Below are 26,059 nucleotides of genomic sequence, written 5' to 3'. Positions count from 1 at the left end.
CACGCCTGTAATCCCAGCATTCTAGGAGGTCAAGACAAGAGGATCACGAGGTCAGGAGTTCAAGACCAGCTTGGCCAACATGGTGAAACCCCCGTCTCTACTAAAAATACAAAAATTAGCCAGGCGTGGTGTTACATGCCTGTAATCCCAGCTACTCGGGAGGCTGAGGCAGGAGAATTGCTTGAACCCAGGAGGCGGAGGTTGCAGTGAGCCGAGATCGTGCCACTGCACTCCAGCCTGGGTGACAGAGCAAAATTTCATCACGAAAAGAAAAAAAAAAAAACAGGCTGGGCACGGTGGCTCACGCCTGTAATCCCAGCACTTTGGGAGGCCGAGGCAGGCAGATCGTGAGGTCAGGAGATCAAGACCATCCTGGCTAATACAGTGAAAACCCATCTCTACTAAAAATACAAAAAAATTAGCCAGGCATTGTGGCGGACGCCTGTAGTCCCAGCTACTTGGGAGGCTGAGGCAGGAGAATGGTGTGAACCTGGGAGGCGGAGCTTGCAGTGAGCTGAGATCCCACCACTGCACTCCAGCCTGGGTGACAGAGCGAGACTCCATCTCAAAAAAAAAAAAGTTTTTTCCTTTTACCACGTCAGGTAATGAAGGAGTTCAGGAAATGCCATCGCTAAATACACCAGTTTGCTATATTGATTACTTAGAGCTGGAGGTACTTGAAAAACAGCAAATGCAAGGGGAGGCTTTCTCTTAATTCCCCATCTGCCTAAATACAGATCCTCAAAAAAGAACTCAGTTGTCACCAGTCCCCTCCTCAGGAGTTTCATCAGCTAGGGAAGATTAACTCATCACAGGAGAGAAAACAAGAAGCCAACACCACACCAAGAGAAGGGCCCATTCATTTTTATTCCAAAATCACTTACTCTCTCCTAAATTGCCTACATACCTCCTCCTCTCTCCCCTGTGAAGAGGGCATACAAGCTCCTAAATCCCACTGGTTTTGGGGGTATTCCCTTTTCTTTCCTGTGATGCCCCATGCACACAGTACATTTGTATAACTTTTCTCCTGTTAATCTGCCTGTTGTCAGTTCATTTCATGGACTCAGCTATGAAACCCACGGAGAGTGAGGGGAAGTCTTTCCTCTCCTACAGTAGCATATTCACTAGTTCCAAGAATTAGAATGTGGGCCAGGTGTGGTGGCTCACACCTATAATCCCAGCACTTTAGGAGGCCAAGGCGGGCGGATCACTTGAGGCCAGGAGCTCAAGATGAGCCTGGCCAACATGGTGAAACCCTGTCTCTACTAAAAATACAAAAATTAGCTGGGCGTGGTGATGGCGCACACCTGTAATCCCAGCTACTCAGGAGGCTGGAAGAGAATCGCTTGAACCCGGGAGATGGAGGTTGCAGTGAGCCGAGATCATGCCACTGCTCTCCAGCCTGGGTGACAGAGTGAGATTCTGTCTCTAAAAAAAGAAAAAGAATTAGAATGTGGACGTCTTTGGGAGGGCTACCATTCTACCTGCCAGAGCCTCACAGCAGCCTGACCCTCATCTCTCCCTTCTCAAGGATGATAAGAACACCTGGGAGGAAGCTGTGGGCTGTGGCTTCCCAAGCAAATAGGTTTGCTGAGGAAATGAAAACAGCCATCTACCAATGGCTTAAACAGGAACTCTTTTTTTTAGAGACAGGGGTCTCACTATGCTGCCCAGGCTGGTCTCAGACTCTGGCCTCAAGCTATCCTCCCGCCACTGCTTTGCAAAGTGCTGGGATTACAGGCAGGAGCCACCATACCTGACCAAAACAAGAGCTCTTGCATGCTACAATAAGGAACAGCAGATAATGGCTTAGAACTCTGTTTGCATATTTAGGCTCAAGTACAGAGACTTTTTGATTTGCCCAAGATTATATCCCCTGAAATAAGAAAATCAGCTATTAATTCCTCAGTTCACAGGGTGTGATATAGGGTGGGTGGTTGTGTGTGTGTGTGTGTGTGTGTGTGTGTGTGTGTGTGTGTGTGTTTAATGCTCTCAACCCAGTTTTGAGGCCCTGGCTAGAGATGGTCAGTTCCTCCTCTTGGGCAGCCAGTTACGTTCGCACCTCAACCACCTCCCTGACTGGGCCCTCACACTCTGGGCTACCACACACCCACCCTAACTGCCCTGGGCCAGGTGCCAGACAACGAGGGACAGCCCCTATGTCCCAGAGCCCAGTGAAATTATTCAAATTAGCCAGTAGTAAGCCATGTTCCCCCATCTCCCACAGAGACCACAAGAAAGGAGAATTTCCACAGCCACCCCTTCTCCCCCTTTGCCACGTGACTGACCTGGGGCTTCACCTGAGTGGCCTTGTGTGGCGTGCTGTTGCTCCCAAGGGAGCTGCACGTATAACAAAACTGTGAAATTCTGGTTTCTCTCTCTTGATCTGCACCTTCACTTAAGGTAGCATGTTTACAACACAGGGTACGTGTGTTTGGTTTTTCTTACGTTTTAATTTTTGATTGATTTCTTTCCCCCTGAAAAGGAGCTCAGGGAGGACCTTTCTCAACCAGTTCAAGGCTAATTTTAATGTCAACAGAGGAAAGCCCAGAAAGGCCTGGGGCAACACTCTGCCTTCCTACCCCGATGCCCAGAGTTTCCCTCGGGCCACTCCACAGCAGATGGCAGCAGAGACAGTCCAGGGAGGGACCCACTGTAACACCGTAACACCTTTTTTTTTTTCTGTGACAGGGTCACCCAGGCTGGAGTGCAATGGTGCGATCACAGCTCACTGCAGCCTCAACCTCCTGGACTCAGGCAATTCTCCCACCTCAACCTCCAGAATAGCTGGGACTACAGACGCATACCACCACGCCAAGCTAATTTTTGTATTTTTTTGTAGAGATAGGGTTTCGCCATGTTGCCGAGGCTAATCTTAAATTCCTGGGCTCAAGAGATCCACCAGCCTCAGCCTCCCAAAGCGTTGGGATTACAGACATGAGCCACTGTGCCCGGCTTGTAACACTATTCTTTGGAACCGTCTTTTGATTAATCCAAAAACCAGCTTGCGGGGTAGCAACATAAATTCTGACTGAAGAAAGTTTCTCCTTCATGAATAACTGCTTTACAGCAAGTCTTTTCTGTTTCAGCAAGTCTTTTCTCTCCCCAACAAAACTCCTGAACCTCCCGTGCCATCATAAACACTAAACTGCCCCAAATTTGCAACCTTACTGCCCCATCTTAGGAGTCCCAGCCCCCAGTCCACTATGCTGGACTGTCTCTATAGCACAATCTCCCCACTCAGAGGAACAGAGAAGCTGGGCCCACATGCAGATCTAGGCCAACAGCCCCCAAAATCGAAGCCCTCCTTGTGGCCTCTCCCCTCTGCCCCTCCCACCTCACTCTATCCCATTCTCCCCCTTTCTCTTCACTGTAATAGCCTCTCATCCCCCGTTTTTTTTTTTTGTTTGTTTCTTTTTCTGCCCACTCAAGTAAAGGCTGCAGCAGGTTCCACCCCAGGGCACTCACCTAAGACAAATAAAGATTAAAGTATTTTTGTTGTTGTTGTTGTTGAGACGGATTGCAGTGGTGCAGTCTCGGCTCACTGCAACCTCCACCTCCTGGGTTCAAGGGACTCTCCTGCCTCAGCCCCCAGACTCAGCTGGGACTACAGGTGCCTGCCATGCCTGGCTAATTTTTGTATTTTTAGTAGAGATGGGGTTTCACCATGTTGGCCAGGCTGGTCTCAAACTCCTGGCCTCAAGCGATCCTTTCATCTCGGCCTCCCAAAGTGCTGGGATTACAGGAGTGAACCACTGCATCTGGCCAATTAAAGTATTTTCTTCCTCCTGGTGGAGGGAGATGATTTCACACCTATGAGGGTGAGAAGATGGAAAGTTTCTGAAACTTTTGTCTTTTCCCTGCTCTGAAGGAGAAGTGGGTGCAGCTGTGCTGAGTTTGTTGCGTTTGAGGGCTACTGTATACATTCTGATCAATACTCTGAGTAATTTACTTCCCCTCTTCATGTTTCCAGCTGAGCTATTTGTCAACTTTTCTTGTGGGAACCCCAGTGATCTCTATTGGAAGATGCATATATACCTCTTTGTTTCTGCTATGGATTGATACTCATCTTCTCCTCTGAGTCCAGTCCTGGGCTCCCAGCAACCGTACATAGAAAGAGCCCTTCCCTCCAGCAGGCATCCTCTGCCCCAGCGACTGTTCCCAAAGCAAATCCCAGCCTGTGCTCTGTGCATGGTCCCTAACCCTCCTTGATCTGTGCGTTATGATATTTGGGGTCATTCACAGGGCAAGATCTTAGAATAAAGTAATTATAAAAGCTAATATACTTTAACATAATGTTCAAAAGCTGAATGAAAAGCCTGGTGTAAAATCTATACTAAAGAAACATCTGGGCCTGGCGCGGTGGCTCACCTCTGTAATCCCAGCACTTTGGGAGGCCGAGGCAAAAGGATCATTTGAGGCCAGGAGTTCGAGACCAGCCTGACCAACATGGTGAAACCCGTCTCTACTAAAAATACAAAAATTAGCTGGGTGTGGTGACGCATGCCTGTAATCCCAGCTATTCAGGAGGCTGAGGCAGGAGAGTTACTTGAACTCAGCAGGTGGAATTCAGCCAAGATCAGTAAGCCGAGATCAGCCACTGCACAATAGCCTGGGTGAAGGAGCCAACAGAGCAAGACACTGTCTCAAAGAAAAGTAAAGAAACATCTGTTGCTTGAGCTTGGTTTAAATACAACATTGTTCAAATGCATTTTCTAACTTTTAAAATGTTTCTTTCTTTCACACACAGGATGTGGGACTGTTCTCTGGTTAATGAGTTACCCATTTCTCTGTTGGCTCTGGGTCACCAGGAAGGACCAGGAGTTCCTTCTCCTTCAGTCACTCTGGTTTTTTTCTCGTAGTCCACAGCTCATATTCTCCTTCTTGCCTCACTCATCCCAGGGAGGAAGCCAGAGGTGAGTGTGGGAGGCACAGAGGAGGATAAGGTTTACTTAAGGTTAAGAGCTAAGTTATTTGTGTGGACTGAATTCAGCTAGCTCTACTAACTCTGTAACCTTGGATAAGTTAGCTTAACCTCTTTAAGCCTCAGTTTTCTGAAACTTTCTTCTGTACTAGTAATTTCTTCTTCTTCTTCTTTTTTTTGGACATGGAGTTTCGCTCTTGTTGCCCAGGCTGGAGTGCAATGGTGCAATCTCAACTCACTGCAACCTCTACCTCCCGGGTTCCAGCTATTCTCTGCCTCAGCCTCCTAGGTAGCTGGGACTACAGGTGCACGCCACCATGCCTGACAAATTTGTATTTTTAGTAGAGACGGGATTTCACCATGTTGGCCAGGTTGGTCTCACTCTCCTGACCTCGTAATCCGCCGCCTCAGCCTCCCATAGTTTTGGGATTACAGCCGTGAGCCACAATGCCCGGCCTGCACTAGTAATTTCTATATTATAATAATAGTACTGATTTCTATATTATAATAATAGTACTGATATCATCTTTGTACTAATAATTTCTGTGCCTTAATAATAATTTCTGTACTAATAATACAGATACAGTAAAATGTCTGTGGCACCAATAATTTAATAATTCTGCATAATTTCTGTTCTATAACAAAATGCTAAATTTTTTTGTAAAGTGAGGCTAATATAGAGTTATTCTGACTATTGGATGAGAAAAAAAGCAGATAAAACGTTCAGAGTATAGCATATAGTGCATGGTTAATAAATGTTAGCTATTATTATTATTGATGAGGACATGTCTTCTAGTCATTCTGCCCAAGCCTTTGCACCTACAGAAACTTGTAAAGAAAATCGAAAACTGGCTTTTTTTCACGTCTGTCTTGTACAGAAAAGACAGTCCCGGTGAGTGATCTGTGGGGAAAGGAGAGGAGAACATCCCCTTTCCCTGGGACCTCTTCAAGGAGTCTGGGCACTACCTCTCCAGCTTTGAAAAGACTTTGTTCCTGCCAAGAAGAGAAATGGGGATGAAGGGGTTGGAATGAACCACATGGTCATGAAGCATGAAGTAGGGGGTATTGTTTTCTCTCTGGATGGAAGAGGGATTTTTCTCAGAGGGACAGGGACGGTGATCAGGCAGGGAAGAAAGGAGACCAATTCTCTGGTTTGGGGCGGTAACTTCTGACTGTCCCGGAGAAAGGCATCTTCGGGCATAATGGAGAGTCCGGAGGCAGGAGAGTGAGAGCCCCAGTGTCACTGCACTGGACCCAGACCTGGAGTAGAAACAAACATTCCAAACCTTGCATGTCTGTAAGTGGAATAAGTGGGTGTCTGGAGGAGGGAATAGGAGTATCATCTTCCTCGCTTCCCCTTTCAGGTAGGAGCTATCCGACTGGATAGAGATGAGCTGAATCACTTCAGGGCAGCCCTTTTGATGACGTTTTAATTTTTAAAATTTTATTAAATTTTATTTTTAAAGATTAGTCAAGTACAGTAGCAAGAAGTAGGGAAAGAGAACAAGGTGTTTTATCTGTAACTGACTGTGAACAATCAAAGTGAGATAACTCACTGCCTTCAGACCAGCCAGATTACATTTTTAAATCAGATATTTAGGGCTTCATTTTGTTCTTTGTATTTTATTTATTTTTATTTGTTTTTTTAAGACAGAGTTTCACTCTTGTCGCCCAGGCTGGAGTGCAATGGCGTGATCTCAGCTCACTGCAACCTCCGCCTCTCAGGTTCAAGAGAGTCTCCTGCCTCAGCCTCCGGAGTAGCTGGGATTACAGGTGCGCACCACCATGCCCAGCTCATTTTTTTGTATTTTTAGTACAGATGGGTTTTCACTGTGTTAGCCAGGATGGTCTCTATCTCCTGACCTCGTAATCCACCTGCCTTGGCCTCCCAAATTGCTGGGATTACAGGCGTGAGCCACAGTGCCCAGCTAATTTTTGTATTTTTAATAGAGATGGGGTTTTACAACGTGGCCAGGTTGGTCTTGGACACTTGACCTCAGGTGATCCACCCGCCTCAGCCTCCCAAAGTGCTAGGATTATAGGCATGAGCCATTGCACCCAGCTGTATTTTATTTTAAATGGAGCCATCCTTGAAATTATTTGGAGTTAAAAAGTCCATGAATTAAAATAAACTATTTCAAATATTTTAAGAAGTAAAACAACAACAACAACAAAAGAAACAGGTATGATTCCCCAACCCCACAATCACCTCCACCCTGATTTTCTGCTATCAGCCTGGTAGTGCCTAGTCTCTGTCCTCAGAAGCCTGGAATAGTTATCAAACAAAAACATTTGTTCCTCTCTTTCCTCCCACCGCCCAAGATGCCAAAAGGGAAGAAGGCCAAGGGGAAGAAGGTGGCTCCAGCTGCTGCTGTCGCGAAGAAGCAGGAGGCCAGGAAAGTGGTGAATCCCGTGTTGGAGAAAAGGCCTAAGAATCTTGGCATTGGACAGCACACCCAACCCAAAAGGGACCTCACTTGCTTTGTCAAATGGCCCCACTTTATCAGGTTGCAGAGGCAAAGAGCGATCCTCTAAACATGGCTGAAAGTGCCTCCTGCAACGAACCAGTTCACCCAGGCCTTGGACCCCCAAAGAGCTACTCAACTGTAATACATAAGCTGGCCCACTAGTACAGACCAGAGACAAAGCAAGAGAAGAAGCAGAGGCTGCTGGCCTGGACTGAGAAGAAAGCTGCCAGCAAAGGGGACTTCCCCACTAAGAGACCACCTGTTTTTCGAGCAGGAGTTATCACCATTGCCACCTTGGTGGAGAATAAGAAGGCTCAGCTGGTGGTGACTGGACATGATGTGGATCCCATCGAGCTAGTTGTCTTCTGCCTGCCCCCAGCCTCAGCCGCCTCATCTGGAAAGTGGGTGATGATAGGCCGGGTGTGGTGGCTTACACCTGTAATCCCAGCACTTTGGGAGGCCGAGGCAGGCAGATCACGAGGTCAGGAGATCAAGACCATCCTGGCTAACATGGTGAAACCCCGTCTCTACTAAAAATACAAAACAATTACCCGGGCGTGGTGGCGGGTGCCTGTAGTCCCAGATACTGGGGAGGCTGAGGCAGGAGAATAGCGTGAACCCAGGAGGTGGAGCTTACAGGGAGCTGAGATTGTGCCACTGCACTCCAGCCTGGGCGACAGAGCGAGACTCTGTCTCAAAAAAAAAAAAAAAAAAAAAGGAAAGAAAAGAAAAGAAAGTGGGTGATGATAGTTGATAGTGCATTTTTCTGTGTTGTAAAATAAAGGTCACTGACTGCATTATCAAGGGGAAGGTAAGACTGGGATGTCTAGTCCACAGGAACACCTGCACCACTGTCACCACACAGCCTAACTTGGAAGACAAAGAAGCTTCGGCTCAGCTGGAGGAAGCCATCAGAACCAATTAGAACAGCAGATACGATGAGATCCATCATCACTGGGGAGGCAATGTCCTGGCTCCCAAGTCTGTGGCTCTCATTGCCAAGCTGGAAAAGCCAAGGCTAAAGAACTTGCCACCAAACTGGGTTAAATGTACGCTGTTGAGTTTTCTGCACATAAAAATAATTAAAATAATACAAATTCTCCTTAAAAAAAAAAAAAAAAAACTTTCCCTCCAGACGTCTTGCAAAAGTGGAGTTACAATACCTTCCTTCTTGTGCTAAGCCAGTGCACACCTCTGAACTGAATGTTGAGAACTGAGCTGAACAGTCTTCACAAAACAAATGCAGCTTGTAGTAAAAGATCGTGCAGGATGATTTCATTTCTCTATAAACAGCAAATTTATAGAGACAGAAAGTAGATCAGCGGTTGCCTAGAGCTGGGGGTAGGAGTGGGTATGAACCGAAAATGGACATGAGGAAACATTTTGGGGTAGTGGAAATGTTCTAAAACTGGATTGTGGTGATGGTTGCACAACTCTGCAAACTTACTAAAATTATCAAATTGTACACTTAAAGTGGGTGAACTTTATGATATATAAATTTGCCTTAATAAAGCTGATGTTGTTTTAAAGTTAGTGTAGGTAACTGATTTAAATTGGTATGCCAAATAGCACTGGTTAGTATCTACTTTAGGATCCTGACTCCACTGCTCGCAAACCATGTGAACTGAAATAAATGATTTCACATCCCCCAGCCTCAATCTCCTCATCTGTAAGTGGGTGATGATAGTGCGTATCTCATAAAGCAGAGTGCCAGTTAAATGAGATAACTTACAGATTCTTAATGCATTTTATTTTACCTTAGAAATTAGAATGTGAGAAGGTAGGCAGGTGTCAGTGTTTATCCTTTCTTGGCTTGGGGAGGGGAGGTCATTCTGAATTTTTCAATGAGAATGATCTGGAAGGCACATGCTCTAGCACTGTCTTTCAGACTCTCAGACCCACCCATTCCCCTGTGCCCAGTGGTTTCACATTTCCAGTCTTCGTTTCCAGGGGCCTTGGACATTGACAGCCACCTCTTTCTGGGTCGAGTTGCAAGGATAAAAGGAATAGTATTTGTTATCAGGCAGAAGGAGCGAGTGGCAGACTGCAGGAGCTCCAGGACCCTAGGTGACTGACTGTTCCAGACTGGCTGCCCTAGGAGACGCTCTAAGGCAGACATAATCGGGACAACTGAATGTGCAACATGGGTCCCTGATGCCCAGGTAAGCCCAGAAAAGTCAAGGCTGACTATTGGGAGCAAAATGAGATAACTCAAAAGTAGCAGTGTGGGAGAAAGAGGGATGGGCCCAAGGCCAGTAAGAGGGTTTGTTCTCTCCTTGTGTGTGGAGTGCACTTATGCTGAAGTTTTTAGGGACATGGGATGGACAGGATGAAGTAGTAGCAATTATTATCATTATTCTTTTTTTTTGAGATGAAGTCTCACTCTGTCGCCCAGGCTGGTGTGCAGTGGCGTGATCTCGGCTCACTGCAGCCCCTGCCTCCAGGGTTCAAGCGATCCTCCCCCATCAGCCTCCCAAGTAGCTGGGATTACAGGCATGCACCACCATGCTCAGCTAATTTTCATCTTTTTAGTACAGACGGGGTTTTGCCATGTTGTCCTGGCTGGTCTCGAACTCCTGACCTTAAGAGATCCACCCGCCTCAGCCTCCTAAAGTGCTGGGATTCCAGGTGTGAGCCACAGAGCCCGGTCTAATTCTTAGCGGAAAGAGGCATACGGTTGTATTCTTTGTACCCTCCCAAACCCCTCCCACTCTGTTCTTGGCAGGCCTGTTCATTCATTCATCCCACATACATTACCAAATTCCTGCTCTCACAGACCTTATATTGTAGTGGAAGACAGATCATAAAGAAATAATCAAATGACTCTATAACCTAACTGCTAACAAGGAAAGGATGTGCAGGAGGCGAGATGGCTTAGACTGAGTGGTCAGGGAAGACCTCTCTGAGGAAGTTACATGTTAGCAGGGCTTTGAGGGAGCAAAAGAAACAAAGCTTGGAAGAAAGAGCACTCTTGGCAGACAGAAGAGAGCATGCAAAGGCCCTGGGTTTGGTGTCAGCTCTGTGTGTTCAAAGAGCACAAAGAAGCCAGTGTAGCTGGGACAGAGTGAGATGGAAGCAGGGTGGTAGGAGATTATTTCAGGGTGATGGTTAGGGCCCAGACCTACTAGCTTTACTGGCCATGAGAAACACATGGATTTCATTTCAGATGTGTTGAAAAGCCATTGGAAGAGTTTTGAACAGTATAGCAAGTGATCTGATCTTGAGGTTATTCCAGCTGTTGTGAAGAATATGAGCTGGGCATGGTGGCTAATGCCTACAATTCCAGCACTTTGGGAGGCCAAGGTGGGAGGACCACTTGAGGCCAGGGGCTGGAGGCCAGCCTGAGCAACATAGTGAGACTCCATCTCTACAAAAACTACAAAAATGAGGTGGGTGTAGTGGTGCATATGTGTCGTCTCAATCAGGAGGCTGAGGTAGGAGGACGGCTTGAGCCCAGGAGTTGGAGGCTACAGTGAGCTATGGTCGCTCCACTGCTCTCCAGCCTGGGCAACAGAGCGAGACTGTGTCTCTAAAAAAAAACAAAGAATGTATAGAAACTTTCTCACCAAACTGCTACAGGATTCCACACCAAAGTGAACAGCCTTTCTACCTGAGAAAGTCTCATGGCCTTGTCTAAGGTGGGAAGAAATATGGGCTATGGACTCTGACTTGCTGGAATGAGGAGATGGGTCTCTCCTCCCATTTTCTCTTCCTGATGGATCTTCTCTTTCCCACTTAGGCCTCGTGTATAGGTGTGTCTCCCTCTCCTTTTTTGCCCTGAGAATCAATGGGTTTGTTTGTAGAGGTTTACCTTTAGAAACAATTCAGGCCGGGCATGGTGGTTCAGGCCTGTAATCCCAGCACTTTTGGGAGGCCGAGGCGGGCGAATCATGAGGTCAAGAGATCGAGACCATCCTGGCCAACATGGTGAAACCCCGTCTCTACTAAAAATACAAAAACTAGCCAGCTATGGTGGCGCACGCCTGTAGTCCCAGCTACTCAGAGGCTAAGGCAGGAGAATCGCTTGAACCCAGGAGGCAGAGGTTGCAGTGAGCCGAGATCACTCTACTGCACTCCAGCCTGGGTGACAGAGTGAGACTCTGTCTCAAAAAAAAAAAAAAGAAAAGAAAAGAAACAATTTGGTCCCCATCAATTCTCTGATATTGAGTCTTGAAAACACTGAAAAAAAATGTTTATTAAGATTTGGAAGAAATTTGCAATTTAAAGTATTTTAACTGAAAAGAAATCAATTACCTCCCTGTGTGCCATGAATGCTAATTCTCTTTGTTTTTTTAAAACATCTCTTCAACTCTAACCAGATCTCCACTGCCTAAATTGAAAGAAGACCCTAGGTAAGGCTTTCTAGCCAGAGATAACACTTCCATAAAATAACCAGAGGAACTAGGGCATAGAGAGGCTGTACTCATCTGCTTCGGCTGCCATAACAGTGTCAGGGTGTCTTAAGCAACATAAATGTATATTCTCCCAGTTCGAGGCTGGAAGTCCAAGACCAAGGTGCCAGTGGGATTGGGTTCTGACGAGACCCCTCTCCCCTGCTTGCAGACAGCCACCTTCTCACTGTGTCCTTGTGTGGCCTTTTCTCTGTCTATGCTTAGGAGTTGGGGGAGCTCGGATGTCTCTCTCTTCTTTTAAGAACACAAGTTCTATCTAATTAGGACTCCAATCTTATGGTCTCATTTAACCTTAATTTCCTCTTTAAATGCCGGATCTCCAAATACAGTCATATTGGGGGTTAGGGCTTCAACATATGAATGTGGGGGTGTGGGATGGGGGGGTAGCCCACTTCATAACCGAAGTTCTCAATAAATATTCAGTAAAGATATGGGTAAATGAATGGATTTCTCTGGACACCCTGAAACTATCAGAGACCTCTGATGGAGCATGAGGTAAAGACAGTGGCTCAGGCAGAGAAATTATAGACCCATGAACTAAATGAACTAGAACCTATATAAATCAGTAGCGTTCCTCTACATCGGCAATAACCCACTAGAAAATGCAATAACAGGTAGGACTCAGTTCACTGTAGTAACAACAATCATAATATCTCAAATTTTACCTAACAAAGAATATATATATAAGACCCCTATGAAGATGATTTAGAAATGCTATTAAAGCATATTGTAAAAGGAATAGAGGCCGGGCGTGGTGGCTCACAGCTGTAATCCCAGCACTTTGGGAGGCCAAGGCAGGTGGATCACTTGAGGCCAGGAGTTCGAGACCAGCCTGGCTAACATGGTGAAACCCCATCTCTACTAAATATCCCCCCCACCCCCCAAAAAAATATCCAGGCTTGTTGGGACATGCTTGTAATCCCAGCTACTTGGGAGGCTGAGGCAGGAGAAACGCTTGAACCCGGGAAGCAGAGGTTGCAGTGAGCCAAAATCAAGCCACTGCCCTCCAACCTGGAAGACAGAGTGAGACGCTGTCTCGAAATAAAAATAAAATTAAATAATAATAATTTAAAATATCCTTCTAGCCAAGCCAAACACATGTAAGGGACTAAGTTGGCCTGTGAGCCACTAGTCTGTAACTCGTTGTGAGTATAATGGGCATGAGGCTTGTTCCTAAACGTTGGGGTGTGGGAGGCAGAAGAATACAAGCAGACTCTCCCCGTCCCACATGCTGTTACCTCTCCACCTCTCTGCAGGCAGCTTTCCTAAGGTCCTGGACCTTCAGATCCTTGCTGGAGTTGAAGGCAGAAATGTTCTGGATCTGCAAAACAGTTAAGGGATATTAAGGAATATTAAGATAGCCACCCCCAAAACTAGGGCATCCTCCTAACATTATCCACGGCTGATCAGTAACACGTGGGATAGAAATTTGAGTTTATTACTTTATAGCAGTATAAAGCAATAGCAAAGTTAATATAAAATCACTCTCCTGTCAGGCCTGCACGGCGTCAGCTCATGGGTCTCTAAGACCCGAAAATTGAGAGCGTTTTTCGCACCCCAGGGGCTGCTCCTGGCAGCTCTGCGGCGTCAACATGCCACAGAACAAATATATTGAATTACACTGTAAACACCATGGATACTGTTTGGATTACCATGAGAAAAAGAGAAAGAAAGAAAGTCGAGAGGCTCATGAATGTTCAAAGAAGGCAAAGAAAATGATTGGTCTCAAGGCTAAGCCTTACCATAAACAGGGCCATGCTGAGAAAATACAAATAAAAAAGACTATCAAGATGCATGAAAAGAGAAACACCAAAAAAAAAAAAAAATGCTGAAAAGACTCCACAGGGAGCAGTACCTGCCTATCTGCTGGACAGAGAGGGACAATCTCGAGCTAAAGTACTTTCCAGTATGATCAAACAGAAACGAAAAGAGAAGGCGGGAAAATGGGAAGTCCCTCTGCCTAAAGTATGTGCCCAGGGAGAAACAGAAGTATTAAAAGTTATTCGAACAAGGAAGAGAAAGAAGAAGGCATGGAAGAGGGTGGTTACTAATGTCTGCTTTGTTCAAGATGGCTTTACAAGAATACCACCTAAGTATGAAAGATTCATCAGGCCAATGGGCTTGCGTTTCAAGAAAGCCCATGTAACATATCCTGAACTGAAAGTCACCTTTTGCCTACCAATATTTGGTGTAAAGAAGAACCCGTCGTCCCCACTGTATACAACTTTGGGTGTTATTACCAAAGGTACTGCCATGGAGGTAAATGTGAGCAAATTGGGCCTTGTGATGCAAGGCGGCAGTTATTTGGGGAAAATATGCCCAGGTTACCAACAATCCTGAAAATGATGGATGCATAAATGCAGTCTTACTGGTTCGACAGCAATTTCATATATAATTATTGAGGACTACGCACCAATTGAAAAAACTGCCATTACTGTGATGTTTCTGAATACTACCAAACAGCCATACATGTCTGCAATCATCAAGAGATTTATTAAATTGCAAACATTAAAATGGAAAAAAAATACAAAATCATTATAAAAATAATAATGCTTTAGGACTCTAACTTCAAACATTCCTCTTATCTGCAAAGGTTAGAAAAGATCACTTTCCCTTTAAATATGCAAAGAGAAAATGTTTCCAGAATTAATTTGAAACCTTTGTAGCCCTTTAGCTGGAAGAATCACCCTACTAAAAATGCATCAATAGAAACACTAATCAACCAGTGAATGTAAAATTATAAACCAACATGTGTATTAAGAGAAAGAAAAGTAGGGAATGTGCAAGGATTTTTAGTAGACTGGGAGTTTAGACTTCCCCCATGAAAGCAACCGGCACTGACAACAGAAAGAGACTGGGATTCACTGGGAGAAGAAAAGAGCATTGCAGCTTGGAACAGACCTAAGGCCGAAAGGAGGGCAGAGCATTGGCAAAAGTCAGCCAAGGAGGCTGGAGTGAAGGGAGCAGGGGAAGGAATGACGCCTGATGAAGCAGGAGGGGTGTGAACCTGAGTGATTAGAGCTGTGTAGACTGCAGTTAGCCACCCTAGGGTTTCAAGAGGTGGAGAAGGAGGATCATCATCAGCCTTATGCTGAAGATAATGACACTGGCTGTAGTGTGATTCATGGGGTAGGGGGGTCTGAGCCGGTGCGGGGCAACCAGACTTGCAACCACTGCTATGATCGGGAGAGGATGATAGTAGCTTGGGCTAGTGTGCGGGGTGCAGTGGACGTGGAGAGGAGTAAGCAGAAGTGCAAGCTATTGAGGAGGTAAATTTATCAGACCCGTGAGTGGCTGGATGTGGGCGGGGAGGGAGAGTCCATGCTTGGGCTGACTCCTGACTTTCTCGCTCTGGTATTGGGACGTGTGCAGACGCATTCCCCCAGACAGGAACACTGAAGAGGAATGAATTGGGGGGCAAGAGCATGAGTCAGTCTTGGACAACCTGACTTGGAGGTGCCTTTGCAATCTCTGAGTGAACCTCTGGCCTGTTTCCCAGTTCACAAATCCCTCACCTGTAACAGTTACGATAAAAATGGCAGGAAGTTAGCTCCTAGGTGTGGAGGAGCAGAAGAGAGACTCGGACGGGGACTCTCCATTTACCCCACCACCCTCCCTGGAGCCTCTCTGAAAGTTACTCACTGAAGATACTTTGTTTTTTGGTCTAGTTGAAGAAGGAGAAACTCAAATGTGTTCTGAAAAATAAGTATGGGGCTTTCTTAACAAGGCTATGGCATACTATCCACTCTTTCCCCTCCTGCCCTGGAGGGAGTGGCTGGCCACTCACACTAAACTTAGAGAATCAGCTGCAGCAGGAGGAAAGGAGGAGAGCCAGAACTCTGGGAACATTACCTGAGAATGAGGACTGGCCAGCGCCTCGCATAGGGAGAGAATTCTCCTGCCTCCTATCTTCAATCAGCCAGAGGAGCAACTTTCAGTTCCCCCATCACAGCACACTTCTTCATTCTTGTGGCCTCACATGTGCTGCCCCCTCACCAGAAACACCCTGCCCTTCCTCCTCTCGTACATCCCTTTCATCTGCATGGGTTCTTCAGCGTATTTTATTCAGTGCTCAGATACCATATCTTTCTGGAGGCCTTTTTTGATGTCTTACAGCTGGGTTCAATGTTTGTGGCAGAGACTGCTAATCGTCTACACATCCATTCTCTTGTCTTTTTTTCTTGGTACAAGAACCCCTAATATTGGGCTGAGCATAAAGTGCTTGGTATAAAGTCTACATTGTCCAATATCTTTTGCAGCTGGATGAGACCATTTGGCTAAGCTCTGGCTAGTAATGTGAAAGTGGAAATGTTTCCAGCTTCTGGGATATGATTTTATAGGGAGAAGACATGCCTTTCTTCCCCTTCCTCTATATGAATATGATGGCTGATTCTTTTTGTTCTTCTTTTTTGTTTTTGTTTTTGTTTTGAGATGGAGTCTCACTCTGTCACCCAAGCTGGAGTGCAGTGGTGTGATCTCGTCTTACCATAACCTCCGCCTCCCAGGTTCAAGTGATTCTTCTGCCTCAGCCTACCGAGTAGCTGGGATTACAGGCACACGCCACCACATCTGGATAACTTTTTGTATTTTTAGTAGAGACGGGGTTTCACCATGTTAGCCAGGATGGTCTCGATCTCCTGACCTCGTGATCCACCTGTCTTGGCCTCCCAAAGTGCTGGGATTACAGGCGTGAGCCATCATACCTGGCCGATAGCTGATTTTTTAGTCACTAGCTTGGACTAGGAAGACATAGACCACACCCTAGGGATGGTGAAGTTTTGCACTAGAAAGAGACTGGATTCATTTCCTTTTTTTTTTTTTTTTTTTTTTTTTTTTTCTGAGACAGAGTCTCACTCTGTTGCCCAGGCTGGAGTGCAGTGACGTGATCCTGGCTCACTGCAACCTCCACCTCCCAGGTTCAAGCAATTCTCTTGCCTCAGCCTCCTGAATAGCTGGGACTACAGGCATGTGCCACCAATCCCCAATAATTTTCTTTTTTTGATAGAGACTGGGTTTCACCATGTTGGTCAGGCTAGTCTCGAACTTGTAGCCTCAAGTGATCCACCTGCCTTGGCCTCCCAAAGTGCTGAGATTACAGGCATGAGCTGCCACACCTGGCCTGGATTCATGTTCTAATGACTTTATGGAGCTATTAGGTATTTTGCACTGTCTACCTCTTGCTTTCATTTGTGTAAAAGGGAAGTCAACTCCCATCCTGTGGAAGGCACTGTTATTTTGGTTACATGCAGAAAAACCTAATCCAAATTTACACAGTGTTCCTCCCATGTGTTTATTCCTATGAAAACACTTAGACCCTACATTACCAATTACTTACCTGAGTGAAAAAAAGTCTGTCCTGCCAGAGTTGACACTCTTCTTCTTATGCAGATGGCTCCAAAGATGTCCTCACCTAACATAACTCATATCTGCAAGTGTTCAGTAAGGAACCAGAAAGCCAGTTATCCAAAGGCAATGCTGTCAAACCACTTCAAATGTTGCTTTCTGGTCTCGGGCTTGATAGTCGCTAGGTGATGCTATGGTTAGGATTGTGCCCATTTCTCCTCCAGTGCAAGTTCTGTCTCTTGGATGGAATAGTCAGTTGATACCACCAATAAACCCGCAGAAAACAGGAAGACAAAAAAAAAGCACGTACAACAAACATCTTAAAAATTGTATCTCCTAGTCAACACATCCTGTGTTGTAGGATTTGGAAAACCATAAGTAATTTTAAAAACTCGGATGGTTTGGCATTTGGAATGTTGAAAGCAATCTGGAAAATCCCAATAGTCCATTTGTGTCTCTATCATTAGCTGAAGAAGCAAATGGTCAAGATGAATTTCAGTAGGATCAGAGGAGTGAGTGTATCCGGTGGATTGGCTCACACCTAGCACCATTATTGAGGTTGGTGATACACCCTTGAACAGACTCTGCCAATGAATCTGTGCTGATTAATTCACTTTTTTCCCCAGAACCTTTCCAAGGTCAAATATTGTTTATGATGGTGTTTTATATTTTTATACCAAGCGTTTCTGCCTTAATTGACTCATCTGTAATTGATAGTCTTCAAGTATGAGCCAAAATAATAATGGCCAAGAGATAGAAGCACATAACCTGGACAATATCTTAAAAGTCAGAAATTTTAAAAAATTCAAACATTATCAATATAATACTGTCCAAATATCTGGACAAATCTGATAATCTCATAGGTTTGAGGTTCCAATTATGCTGGATTTTTGAAGTTTCACAGCCTGTTGGCCTGGCTGGTTTCAAACTCCTGACCTCAAGTGATCCGCCCGCCTTAGCCTCCCAAAGTGCTGGGATTACAGGTGTAAGCCACTGGACCCTGCCAGGGCTGAAGATTAAATGAGGTAGCGTATATAAAGCACACAGCTGCTATCAATAGATTTTACCTATTATACAGTGGGCTTTCCCTCCCTAAAGAGGGACTCCATTTTTTTTAAATCACATTGTATTCCTAGTATCTACCATAGTGCCTGACATGTAATAAGCACCGCTAAAATGTCTGATCAATGTTAACTGAGAGTATGAGAAGGACCTTGAATGCAAAGAGTTCTTGCTGGGATCCTCCTTTAAGTACAATGCTTCTCTCCTATAAACATAACCCTTCCCTTAGAAGGCTACACGGGGCTGGGCATGGTCAGCTACTCGAGAGGCTGAGGTGGGAGGGTTGCCTAAGCCCGGGGAGGTTGAGGCTGCAATAAGCTGTGATTGCACTATTGCACTCCAGCATGGGCAACAGAGGGAGCCCTGTCTCAAAAAGAAAAAGGAAAATTTAAAGAAGAAGAAGAAGAAGAGGAGGAATAGGAAGAAGAGGAAGAAGGAGGAGAAGGAGGAGAAGGAGGAGGAGGAGAAGAAAGAAGAAGAAGAAGGCTACACTGGAAAAAATCCCAGCCCAGAGTTTATGTGAAAAAGGAGATCCCTGACACATTGGTCCTGTGATTCCTGGAGCCTGCTAGGTAGAAGGTTGTTAACCAGAGTAATTTATGCACGATCAGTGGCAGGGGAGAAAGAAGGTTTTATACAGCTTAAAGGAGAGAAGTCATTTTATTTGGGCTCCTGCAGTATTATTATTTAGACTCTCATTTATTTTACATCACTTCTGTGATGACTGTACATGAATAAATATTGACAAATTGAATGATCTGATCCCTGCATTACAGGGTAAACTTGCATAATCCCTTGTAGACGTACTCTGGGGAGTGAGGCTACTTTGTGGAGTTCCTTGCCAGTATCCCTAAGCAAGGGATTCTTTCTTGTTCTAAGCTGTGGCATATGGTTGTGGTTTTGGAGCTGGAAAAGGAGAATAAGATGGAATATTACATGGCAAATTTGCTGGTCATTTCGATTGTTGAACATTTTTCTTTCAAGAAGAGTTATTATTACAGCCTCTGCTGGCTTAAGGCAGTGAAAGTCCAGGCTGGGCGCAGTGGCTCATGTCTATAACCCCCGCACTTTGGAAGCCTGAGGTGGACAGATTGCTCGGCCTCCTCCCTACTGCCCTCTGATGTGCTCACTCCAGAAATGGAAGGAGAGAGACCCTGGGTAGTGAGTCCACCAGACACTCTCAGGCCAGCAGAATCACCTCTTGAAGACAGAGACAAGAATGAGTGGAAGAAATGTAGCCAGGAAAAGTCAAAAGGACATGATAGGCTTTTGAGATGTTTGGAGAGAGTTTTATTCCCTTTCTTTGGATTTGGGGGAAATTATATCGCACAGGCTGACTAGGAGAAAGGGGGAGGGTGGAAGTTTTGTCTTCATCCCCCCATTTGTCTCTCCAACCTTGAACTTGCATGGGAGCTATGCAGGGGCAGGTGACAAGGGTGTCAACCAAAAAGGATCTGTGCCATCAGCACCATTAGTAAGAAACCAGGCCAGGCACAGCAGCTCACACCTGTAATCCTAGAACTTTGGGAGGCTGAAGGCCGATGGATCACTTGAGCCCAGGAGTTCGAGTAGCCTGGGTAACATAGGAAGACCCTATCTCTAAAAAAATATTAAAAATTAGCTAGTCATGATGATACACGACTGTAGTGCCAGCTACTTGGAAGGCTGAGGTGAGAGGATAGCTTGAGCCAGGAGGCTGCTGTGAACTACTGTTGTGCTACTGCCTGGGCAACAGAGCGAGACCTCATCTCTAAAAATAAAAATAAAAAATAAGATAAATAGGCCAGGTGCAGTGGCTCACACCTGTAATCCCAGCACTTTGGGAGGCCGAGAAAAGTAGATCACCTGAGGTCAGGAGTCCGAGACCAGCCTGGCCAACAAGGCAAAACCCCATCTCTACTAAAAATACAAAAATTATCTGGGCATGGTGGTGCACGCCTGTAACCCCAGCTACTCTGGAGGCTGAGGCACGAGAATTGCTTGAAACCAGGAGGTGGAGGCTGCAGTGAGCCAAGATCGCACCAGTGTGCTCCAGTCTGGGTGACAAAGCAAGACCTCATTTCTAAAAATAAAAATAAAAAATAAGATAAATAAGTCATCAACCATCCAGCCATTTCTGCATTTTTGGGTGAGTCCACAAAAAAAAAAGAAAGAAAGAAACCAGATTTGCTATATTAGTACGAAGCTACACTCACCTTTGACTAGTTGGAAGCTTCTCTAAGATTGTGGTTAGCGAAAGCCAAGAGCTTCCTAGAGGTAAGATTGAGAAGGTTTTTGCTGAGGCTGTTTTATTGGTTGGCTATGTGTCAGCTCTTGGGAGTAATTTGCATAAAACTTGTCAGAGTGTATTTTCAAGGTGGGAAACACTAAATTTTCAACATTTAAGATAGGAACCTTGGTCAACCTGACATCTGCCTGCCAAGCTTTACCATGCACTGCTTCCCAAGAGCAATCAGCCAGTCGCGAGGTTAAGGTTTTAGGAAGAAGCTGAGTCTACAGACAGCTTCAGCAACCTGCAATAAGAGGGGTGGTAGTGGGATGTCAAGACCCAGTGGGTGGAGAGGTACAATCCAAGGAGTATGGCTAATAGTAGAGTCAGCGGTTTGGAGTGAGCAGACCAAGAGTGAATGTGTTTTCTCATCTTTAAAATGGAGTTAATGAGAGTACCAGCCCCAAAAGGCAGTTGTGGTAATTGAATGAGTTAAAGCATGTAGCACGCTCAGCACACTGGTTGACTCATAATGTATTCTCAAGCAATGTGAGCTGTGTTCATCGTCACCACCATTATTATCACCATCTTCATCACCATCATCCTGGCTCTTCCACTGATGCGGGTTGTGACCTGGGGCAAGTTGTGTAACATTTCTAAACCTTGGATTCCTCATCTTTACATTAAAGAAAAAACGTAATTATCTTCAAGAATATAGCGAGGATGAAATGAAATGAGGCACATAAAGCATCTAACATGATGCTTGGCAAATAGTAGGCGCTCATTGAGTGGGCGTTATTTCCTGTTGGTTTCCACGGCTTTCCTTTATTGATTGATAGTCAAAACAGGTATTTTGGAAGAACGAATACCAGAGGAAGGAAGACAACAAAGTCCCTGTGATGGGAAAAGTTTACTCAGTGGAAGAGACTCTCATGTTTTTGATGAGAGTTCTTATTTTCATTTTTTTGTGTGGTCCCATCGGACATCTCCCTAAGACCTCAGATGTCCTTGAGTTTACAGTCCCACACATTAAGTAGTTTTCATTACTGAAGAAATCAGAGAGGATTGAAGATTTGGGGACATGGATGTGAGGTTGCCAAATTTTGCAATAAAAATACAGGTGCGCAATATTTTATCTGGCTATCATACATGGATGCCAATTTATCTTCTTGTAAACTCAAGCTAGGATTGACTCTTGTTTTGTGAACTTGTGTGATTTACGATATCCACATTCAAGGGCTTCTCGGCGAGAGAGAGAGATGCTGCAGAATGTAGGCTCGGCTGGGCGCAGTGGCTCATGCCCTAATCCCACACTTTGGGAGGCCGAGGTGGGTGGATCACGAGGTCAGGAGTTCGAGACCAGCCTGGCAAAGATGGTGAAACCCCATCTCTACTAAAATACAAAAATTAGCTGGGCATAGTGGCAGGCGCCCGTAATTCCAGCTACTCAGGAGGCTGAGGCAGGAGAATCGCTTGAACCCAGGAGGCAGAGGTTGCAGTGAGCTGAGATCGTGCTACTGCACTCTAGCCTGGGCAACAGAGCGAAACTCCATCTCAAAAAAAAAAAAAAAAAAAAAAAAGAACGTAGGCTCAACTTCTCAGGAAGACAGTTATCAAGGGCATCTTCTCCCATGAGTCATGTTGGGTTTAAGTATTATAGAAGCAAAATGGATCCTGGAGGTTAGGTTTTAGTAAGGAGGCCCTGGATTAACTTCCTCAAGGCTTCTCGTCATTATTATTTCCTGTTACTATCAATAGAGCACTGCTCATTGTCCCTCACTCCCTGCCGTCCCCTTACACCTTCCTTGGCCCTACAATGCCCCTTCTCTCACTACTGAAACACTGCACAGTCTCCACAGCCTAAGGGATGGGGCAGCTACGGCTTCCTAAGGATGATATTATGAGAACACAACACAAACCAGGCCTCCTGGGCTCCATTTTGTTCAAATCATAATATTCAGATGTTATTTCGTTTCTCTTTCCAAACTCCAATGGCATTTCCTAGTGACTTTGCTTTTGAAATGAAAATGCAGGTAGTAGCAGAGCAAAGTATCAAATTAATGACCTTTATCTCAAAACCTGTGTTTTTCGGTAACAAGAAGAGCAGACTTCAGAGAGAGATCAGGTTATGAACTCTCTGTGACATCTCACTTACTGTCCTACCCTGAAACCTTTTTTTTTTCCTGCAGAGTAGGTCTTAAGGTAAGGTGCTGTGTGTATGTGTGTGTGTGTGTGTGTGTGTGTGTGCACACGCGCCCCTGTCTGGAATTTTCATGTACAATCTTTATGCCATTACTAGCTGAGATCATATGGAGTCAGCCCTCATTGCAGAGTTTTAGATCCTGGTCGCTAAGGTCGGGTAGTTGAGGCTTTCTATCTTCCCTGGTTTCAGAGCATACCTGTCTCCCTCCCAGCCTGAGTCAGGGGACAGAAGAGACTGCGGCAGCACATCTCACCCCAAGATATCATGCCCAGCTCCTAAGCCCCTCCCACATCCCTTCCCACTCTGAACTCGTGGCCTGCAGAGCTCCTGGATGGGACCACACTATCTGAGAGGGGCCAGAAGGCTTTGGGGTGACACAGTTTGTCTGCCTTCCTCTCAGCATGACTGACAGCACCTGAACCATGAATGCAGAGACAGAATGAACGGTGGCCCTTCTCCAAGCCCTTGGTCCTCCTTTTACTCATACTCTTTGCCTTCCAGCCTGGGGATCAGGAAAGATTTTTTATTTATTCATTTATTTATATATTTTTTCCAAGACAGAGTCTCCCAGGCTGGAGTGCGGTAGCGTGATCTCGGCTCACTGCAACTTCCACCTCCCAGGTTCAAGCAATTCTCCCTGCCTCAGCCTCATGAGTAGCTGGGATTATAGGCAACTGCCACCACGCCCAGCTAATTTTTGTATTTTTTAGTAGAGACGGGGTTTCGCCATGTTTGTTAGGCTGGTCTCGAACTCCTGACCTCAGGTGATCTGCCCACCTCAGCCTCCCAAAGTGCTGGGATTGCAGGCGTGAGCCACGGTGCCCAGCCGAAAGGGTATTTTTGACCTAATGAGAGAAACCAAAGATTTCTGCGCATATGCTCTGCCTTTAAAGATCCTCCCGCTTAGTCCTCATCCCTGACAAGGCAGAAAGCTTCGAGAAACACAAGGGCCTTTGCTTCATGTCAGGAGCTGGCCGAAGGGCACTAAGAGTGAAGGGACCATGGTCTACTGAGCTTCTCCCAAAAACCCTGTTTAGCAGAGGAGGAAGTGGGACAAGTGACCTCTAGAAGTTATGAAATCCATCCCCCTACCTTCTGGCTGCCCTGACAATTAATAAACAGTTCCCTCTCCGAGATGATTTTCGTTGGAATTAGAACCTGGAATTTCCTCAAATTGTAGTAGACAAGTTGAATTCCTGAACCTGGAATTTCCTCAAATCATCTTGGAGAGGGCCTTTAAAGATTACAAATTAGAAATCAACTGTTTGACATTCTCCTCACTTTTTTTGGATAATGCATGGGACTCCAGAATTCTCTGCCCAAATATCCCCAAGTTTGTCTCCAGACCTAGTGCTGACCTTTTCAAGGTTAGTTCTTCTAAGGGTGACCCAGATGCTGGTGTGTACAACCCAACCTTAAGGGATCAACAAAGAGTGAGTATTATGAGGAAGTTGGATATATGGGCTGAGAAGTCCATATGGGAATGCAAGAGATCTATGCTGATGCAAGAAGGGCTGGAGACAGGAGTGGGAAGAAAAAAGGATGGAGGATGAGGACCAAAGCTGGGGGCTGGCTCTTCCCATGCCACCATGTTCCAGCAAGAGATTCTGACATCCAAGAATTTAAAATTCCAACCTGGACTTCCAGGTTGTTCTGAAGGTATTTTTGTCAAGGTAGGAGGACAGAACATATTGTATTGAATGATTTGTGAGCTTTACTTATAACTTAAAACATTTAGACATCTGGTTTTTAGGCCTCCATTTGCACTCTTGTCAAGGCCTACAATACCCCATGACCTACCCTGCTACCTTCTGGGAGAGAAACCTTCACAGTCCAAATGGCTCAGAGCATGGTCCAGCTGCAACCACATGCTGTACCGCCTCACATCTGTCCCACTCTGCCCTATTTTGGCCCCTAAGAATGGTTAGATCTTACAGGGCACATCCTATGGCCACGTGTTTTGCAATAGCCCTATACTAGTTTTCTGGTCTGTGCTGAGGGCATTAAATCAAATATAAGAGTTTTGCCCAACTTTCAGGGACCAGTAAACTTAATGCAATTGAATTATGGGCCTTGAAGCCTTGCCTGAAAAAGATGAGGTGGTTGGGCCGGGCGCGGTGTTTCACACCTGCAATCCCAGCACTTTGGGAAGCCGAGGTGGGTGGATCACCTGAGGTCAGGAGTTTGAGACCAGCCTGGCCAACATGGCAAAACCCTGTCTCTACTAAAGGTACAAAAAAATTAGTCAGGCATTATAGCACATGCCTGTAGTCCCAGCCGCTCGGGAGGCTGAGGTGGGACAATCGCTTGAACCCAAGAGGCAAAGGTTGCAGTGAGCCGAGATGGCGCCACTGCACTCCAGCCTGGGCAACAGAGTGAGACTCCATCTCAAGAAAAAAAAAAAAAAAAAGAAGAGGTTGTTGAAATTTGGCTGACAATCCAACTTTCTTTTATTTTTTCCATGTCAGATGGGTAATGGGCCTACGTCGTAACAAGGTTTGAGGGAGGCCCACCCATCTCTCACACACAAGCATGAAACCACAGTCATCACGCTTATGAACTACAAAAGGATCACTGACTCTCTTTTTAAGGAGGGGCACGAGCCAGTGAAGGGAAGAAGGGAGCAATGTCAGGCTCAAGGAGCCACTTAAGGCAGTTTGGGGAAGAAGAAGGGCAGGCAGCAGCTGCTGAGAGGGACTTGGAGGGATGAACAGAAGTGTTTGCAGGTATCCTCAGGGAAATTTTACCATATGTTATGAGGAGCTTGCCTCACTTTCCCAAAGAAAATCAGTAAATGCTATCTTACTCAAGATGGCTGATAGAGTTGGATTTGTTCATTTGTTCTGGAAGAGGGTGACCAGGGGATGGAAGCAAGTGCCTAGTCTGGCCCAAAGCTGATCTTCGGGTAACAACAGGAGCTGCAGAAGGGCCCACGTGCATCCAGGCTAACTAATTAAATGGAATGTTGGGCACCCATTTCTCTTTCTCCAGAGCTGACCGTGTAAAGGCTTCAAAGTAGATGCCCAAGCATCTGAAAATGAAACAGGGACAGCAGCAGCAGCAGCAGGCTCATTCAGGCCTTCCTGGAAGATGAACTAAGAGACAGGTGAGCTGCATGCCTGGCCTTGCTCTACGAAAGCCTGTTTTTAGATATCTGCTTTGGTTGTTTTTGTTCTCTGTTTTTACAAAAAAAGGAGTTTGTGTTTATTCAACAAAATTTGAAGTAGGCCAGGCAAGGTGGCTTATGCCTGTAATCCCAGCACTTTGGGAGGCCGAGGTGGGAGGATAACTTGAGCCCAGGAGCTCGGGACCAGCCTGGGCAATATAGCAAGACACTGCTTCAAGACTCTGCTTCTTTTTTTTTTTTTTTTTTTTTTTTTTTTTTGATACAGAGTCTTGCTCTGTCACCCAGGCTGGAGTGCAGTGGCGTGATCTGGG

General features: G+C 45.6%; 1 protein-coding gene and 3 pseudogenes across 3 annotated transcripts in view, besides 7 other annotated features; 2 read left to right on the top strand and 2 right to left on the bottom strand.

The window, feature by feature from the left end:
- The window catches only part of FAM81A (family with sequence similarity 81 member A), a 125,575-nt gene extending 108,155 nt beyond the window's left edge, over window positions 1-17,420 (bottom strand). For 2 of the 3 annotated variants that reach the window (XM_047432170.1, XM_011521248.3), the window contains exons 1-2: window positions 15,657-15,775; window positions 13,043-13,125 (exon numbers count right to left, since the gene is read on the bottom strand). The gene's annotated coding sequence lies outside the window, so the exon portion shown is untranslated. Of the gene's footprint in view, window positions 1-13,042; window positions 13,126-15,656; window positions 15,776-17,139 lie in introns of those variants that run through there. The other variant, XM_047432171.1, reaches the window with a different exon arrangement.
- Window positions 3,781-3,860: an enhancer, noted in NCBI's record as "active region_9493". NCBI's record gives its function as "activates an Ori minimal core promoter by ATAC-STARR-seq in GM12878 lymphoblastoid cells {active_cell/tissue: GM12878}" and the evidence as "EXISTENCE:reporter gene assay evidence [ECO:0000049][PMID:35858748]".
- Window positions 3,871-3,920: an enhancer, noted in NCBI's record as "active region_9492". NCBI's record gives its function as "activates an Ori minimal core promoter by ATAC-STARR-seq in GM12878 lymphoblastoid cells {active_cell/tissue: GM12878}" and the evidence as "EXISTENCE:reporter gene assay evidence [ECO:0000049][PMID:35858748]".
- On the top strand, window positions 7,224-8,497 carry RPL7AP75 (ribosomal protein L7a pseudogene 75; annotated as a pseudogene).
- Window positions 7,636-7,725: a silencer, noted in NCBI's record as "silent region_6489". NCBI's record gives its function as "represses an Ori minimal core promoter by ATAC-STARR-seq in GM12878 lymphoblastoid cells {active_cell/tissue: GM12878}" and the evidence as "EXISTENCE:reporter gene assay evidence [ECO:0000049][PMID:35858748]".
- Window positions 13,257-13,551: a silencer, noted in NCBI's record as "tiled region #1182; HepG2 Repressive non-DNase unmatched - State 20:ReprD". NCBI's record gives its function as "represses a minimal TATA promoter and a strong SV40 promoter by Sharpr-MPRA in HepG2 cells {active_cell/tissue: HepG2}" and the evidence as "EXISTENCE:reporter gene assay evidence [ECO:0000049][PMID:27701403]".
- On the top strand, window positions 13,289-13,935 carry NSA2P4 (NSA2 pseudogene 4; annotated as a pseudogene).
- Window positions 15,036-15,115: an enhancer, noted in NCBI's record as "active region_9491". NCBI's record gives its function as "activates an Ori minimal core promoter by ATAC-STARR-seq in GM12878 lymphoblastoid cells {active_cell/tissue: GM12878}" and the evidence as "EXISTENCE:reporter gene assay evidence [ECO:0000049][PMID:35858748]".
- Window positions 15,486-15,825: an enhancer, noted in NCBI's record as "active region_9490". NCBI's record gives its function as "activates an Ori minimal core promoter by ATAC-STARR-seq in GM12878 lymphoblastoid cells {active_cell/tissue: GM12878}" and the evidence as "EXISTENCE:reporter gene assay evidence [ECO:0000049][PMID:35858748]".
- Window positions 15,966-16,075: an enhancer, noted in NCBI's record as "active region_9489". NCBI's record gives its function as "activates an Ori minimal core promoter by ATAC-STARR-seq in GM12878 lymphoblastoid cells {active_cell/tissue: GM12878}" and the evidence as "EXISTENCE:reporter gene assay evidence [ECO:0000049][PMID:35858748]".
- A 7,663-nt stretch (window positions 17,421-25,083) lies between the features above and the next one.
- On the bottom strand, window positions 25,084-25,193 carry LOC124903597 (uncharacterized; annotated as a pseudogene).
- Between the last annotated feature and the right edge of the window lie 866 nt (window positions 25,194-26,059).

The sequence above is a fragment of the Homo sapiens genome, chromosome 15 (assembly GCF_000001405.40).
Source record: "Homo sapiens chromosome 15, GRCh38.p14 Primary Assembly".
Taxonomy (NCBI): domain Eukaryota; kingdom Metazoa; phylum Chordata; class Mammalia; order Primates; family Hominidae; genus Homo; species Homo sapiens.
Note: the sequence above shows the minus strand (reverse complement) of the source record. Positions and strands in the feature narration are given on the sequence as shown.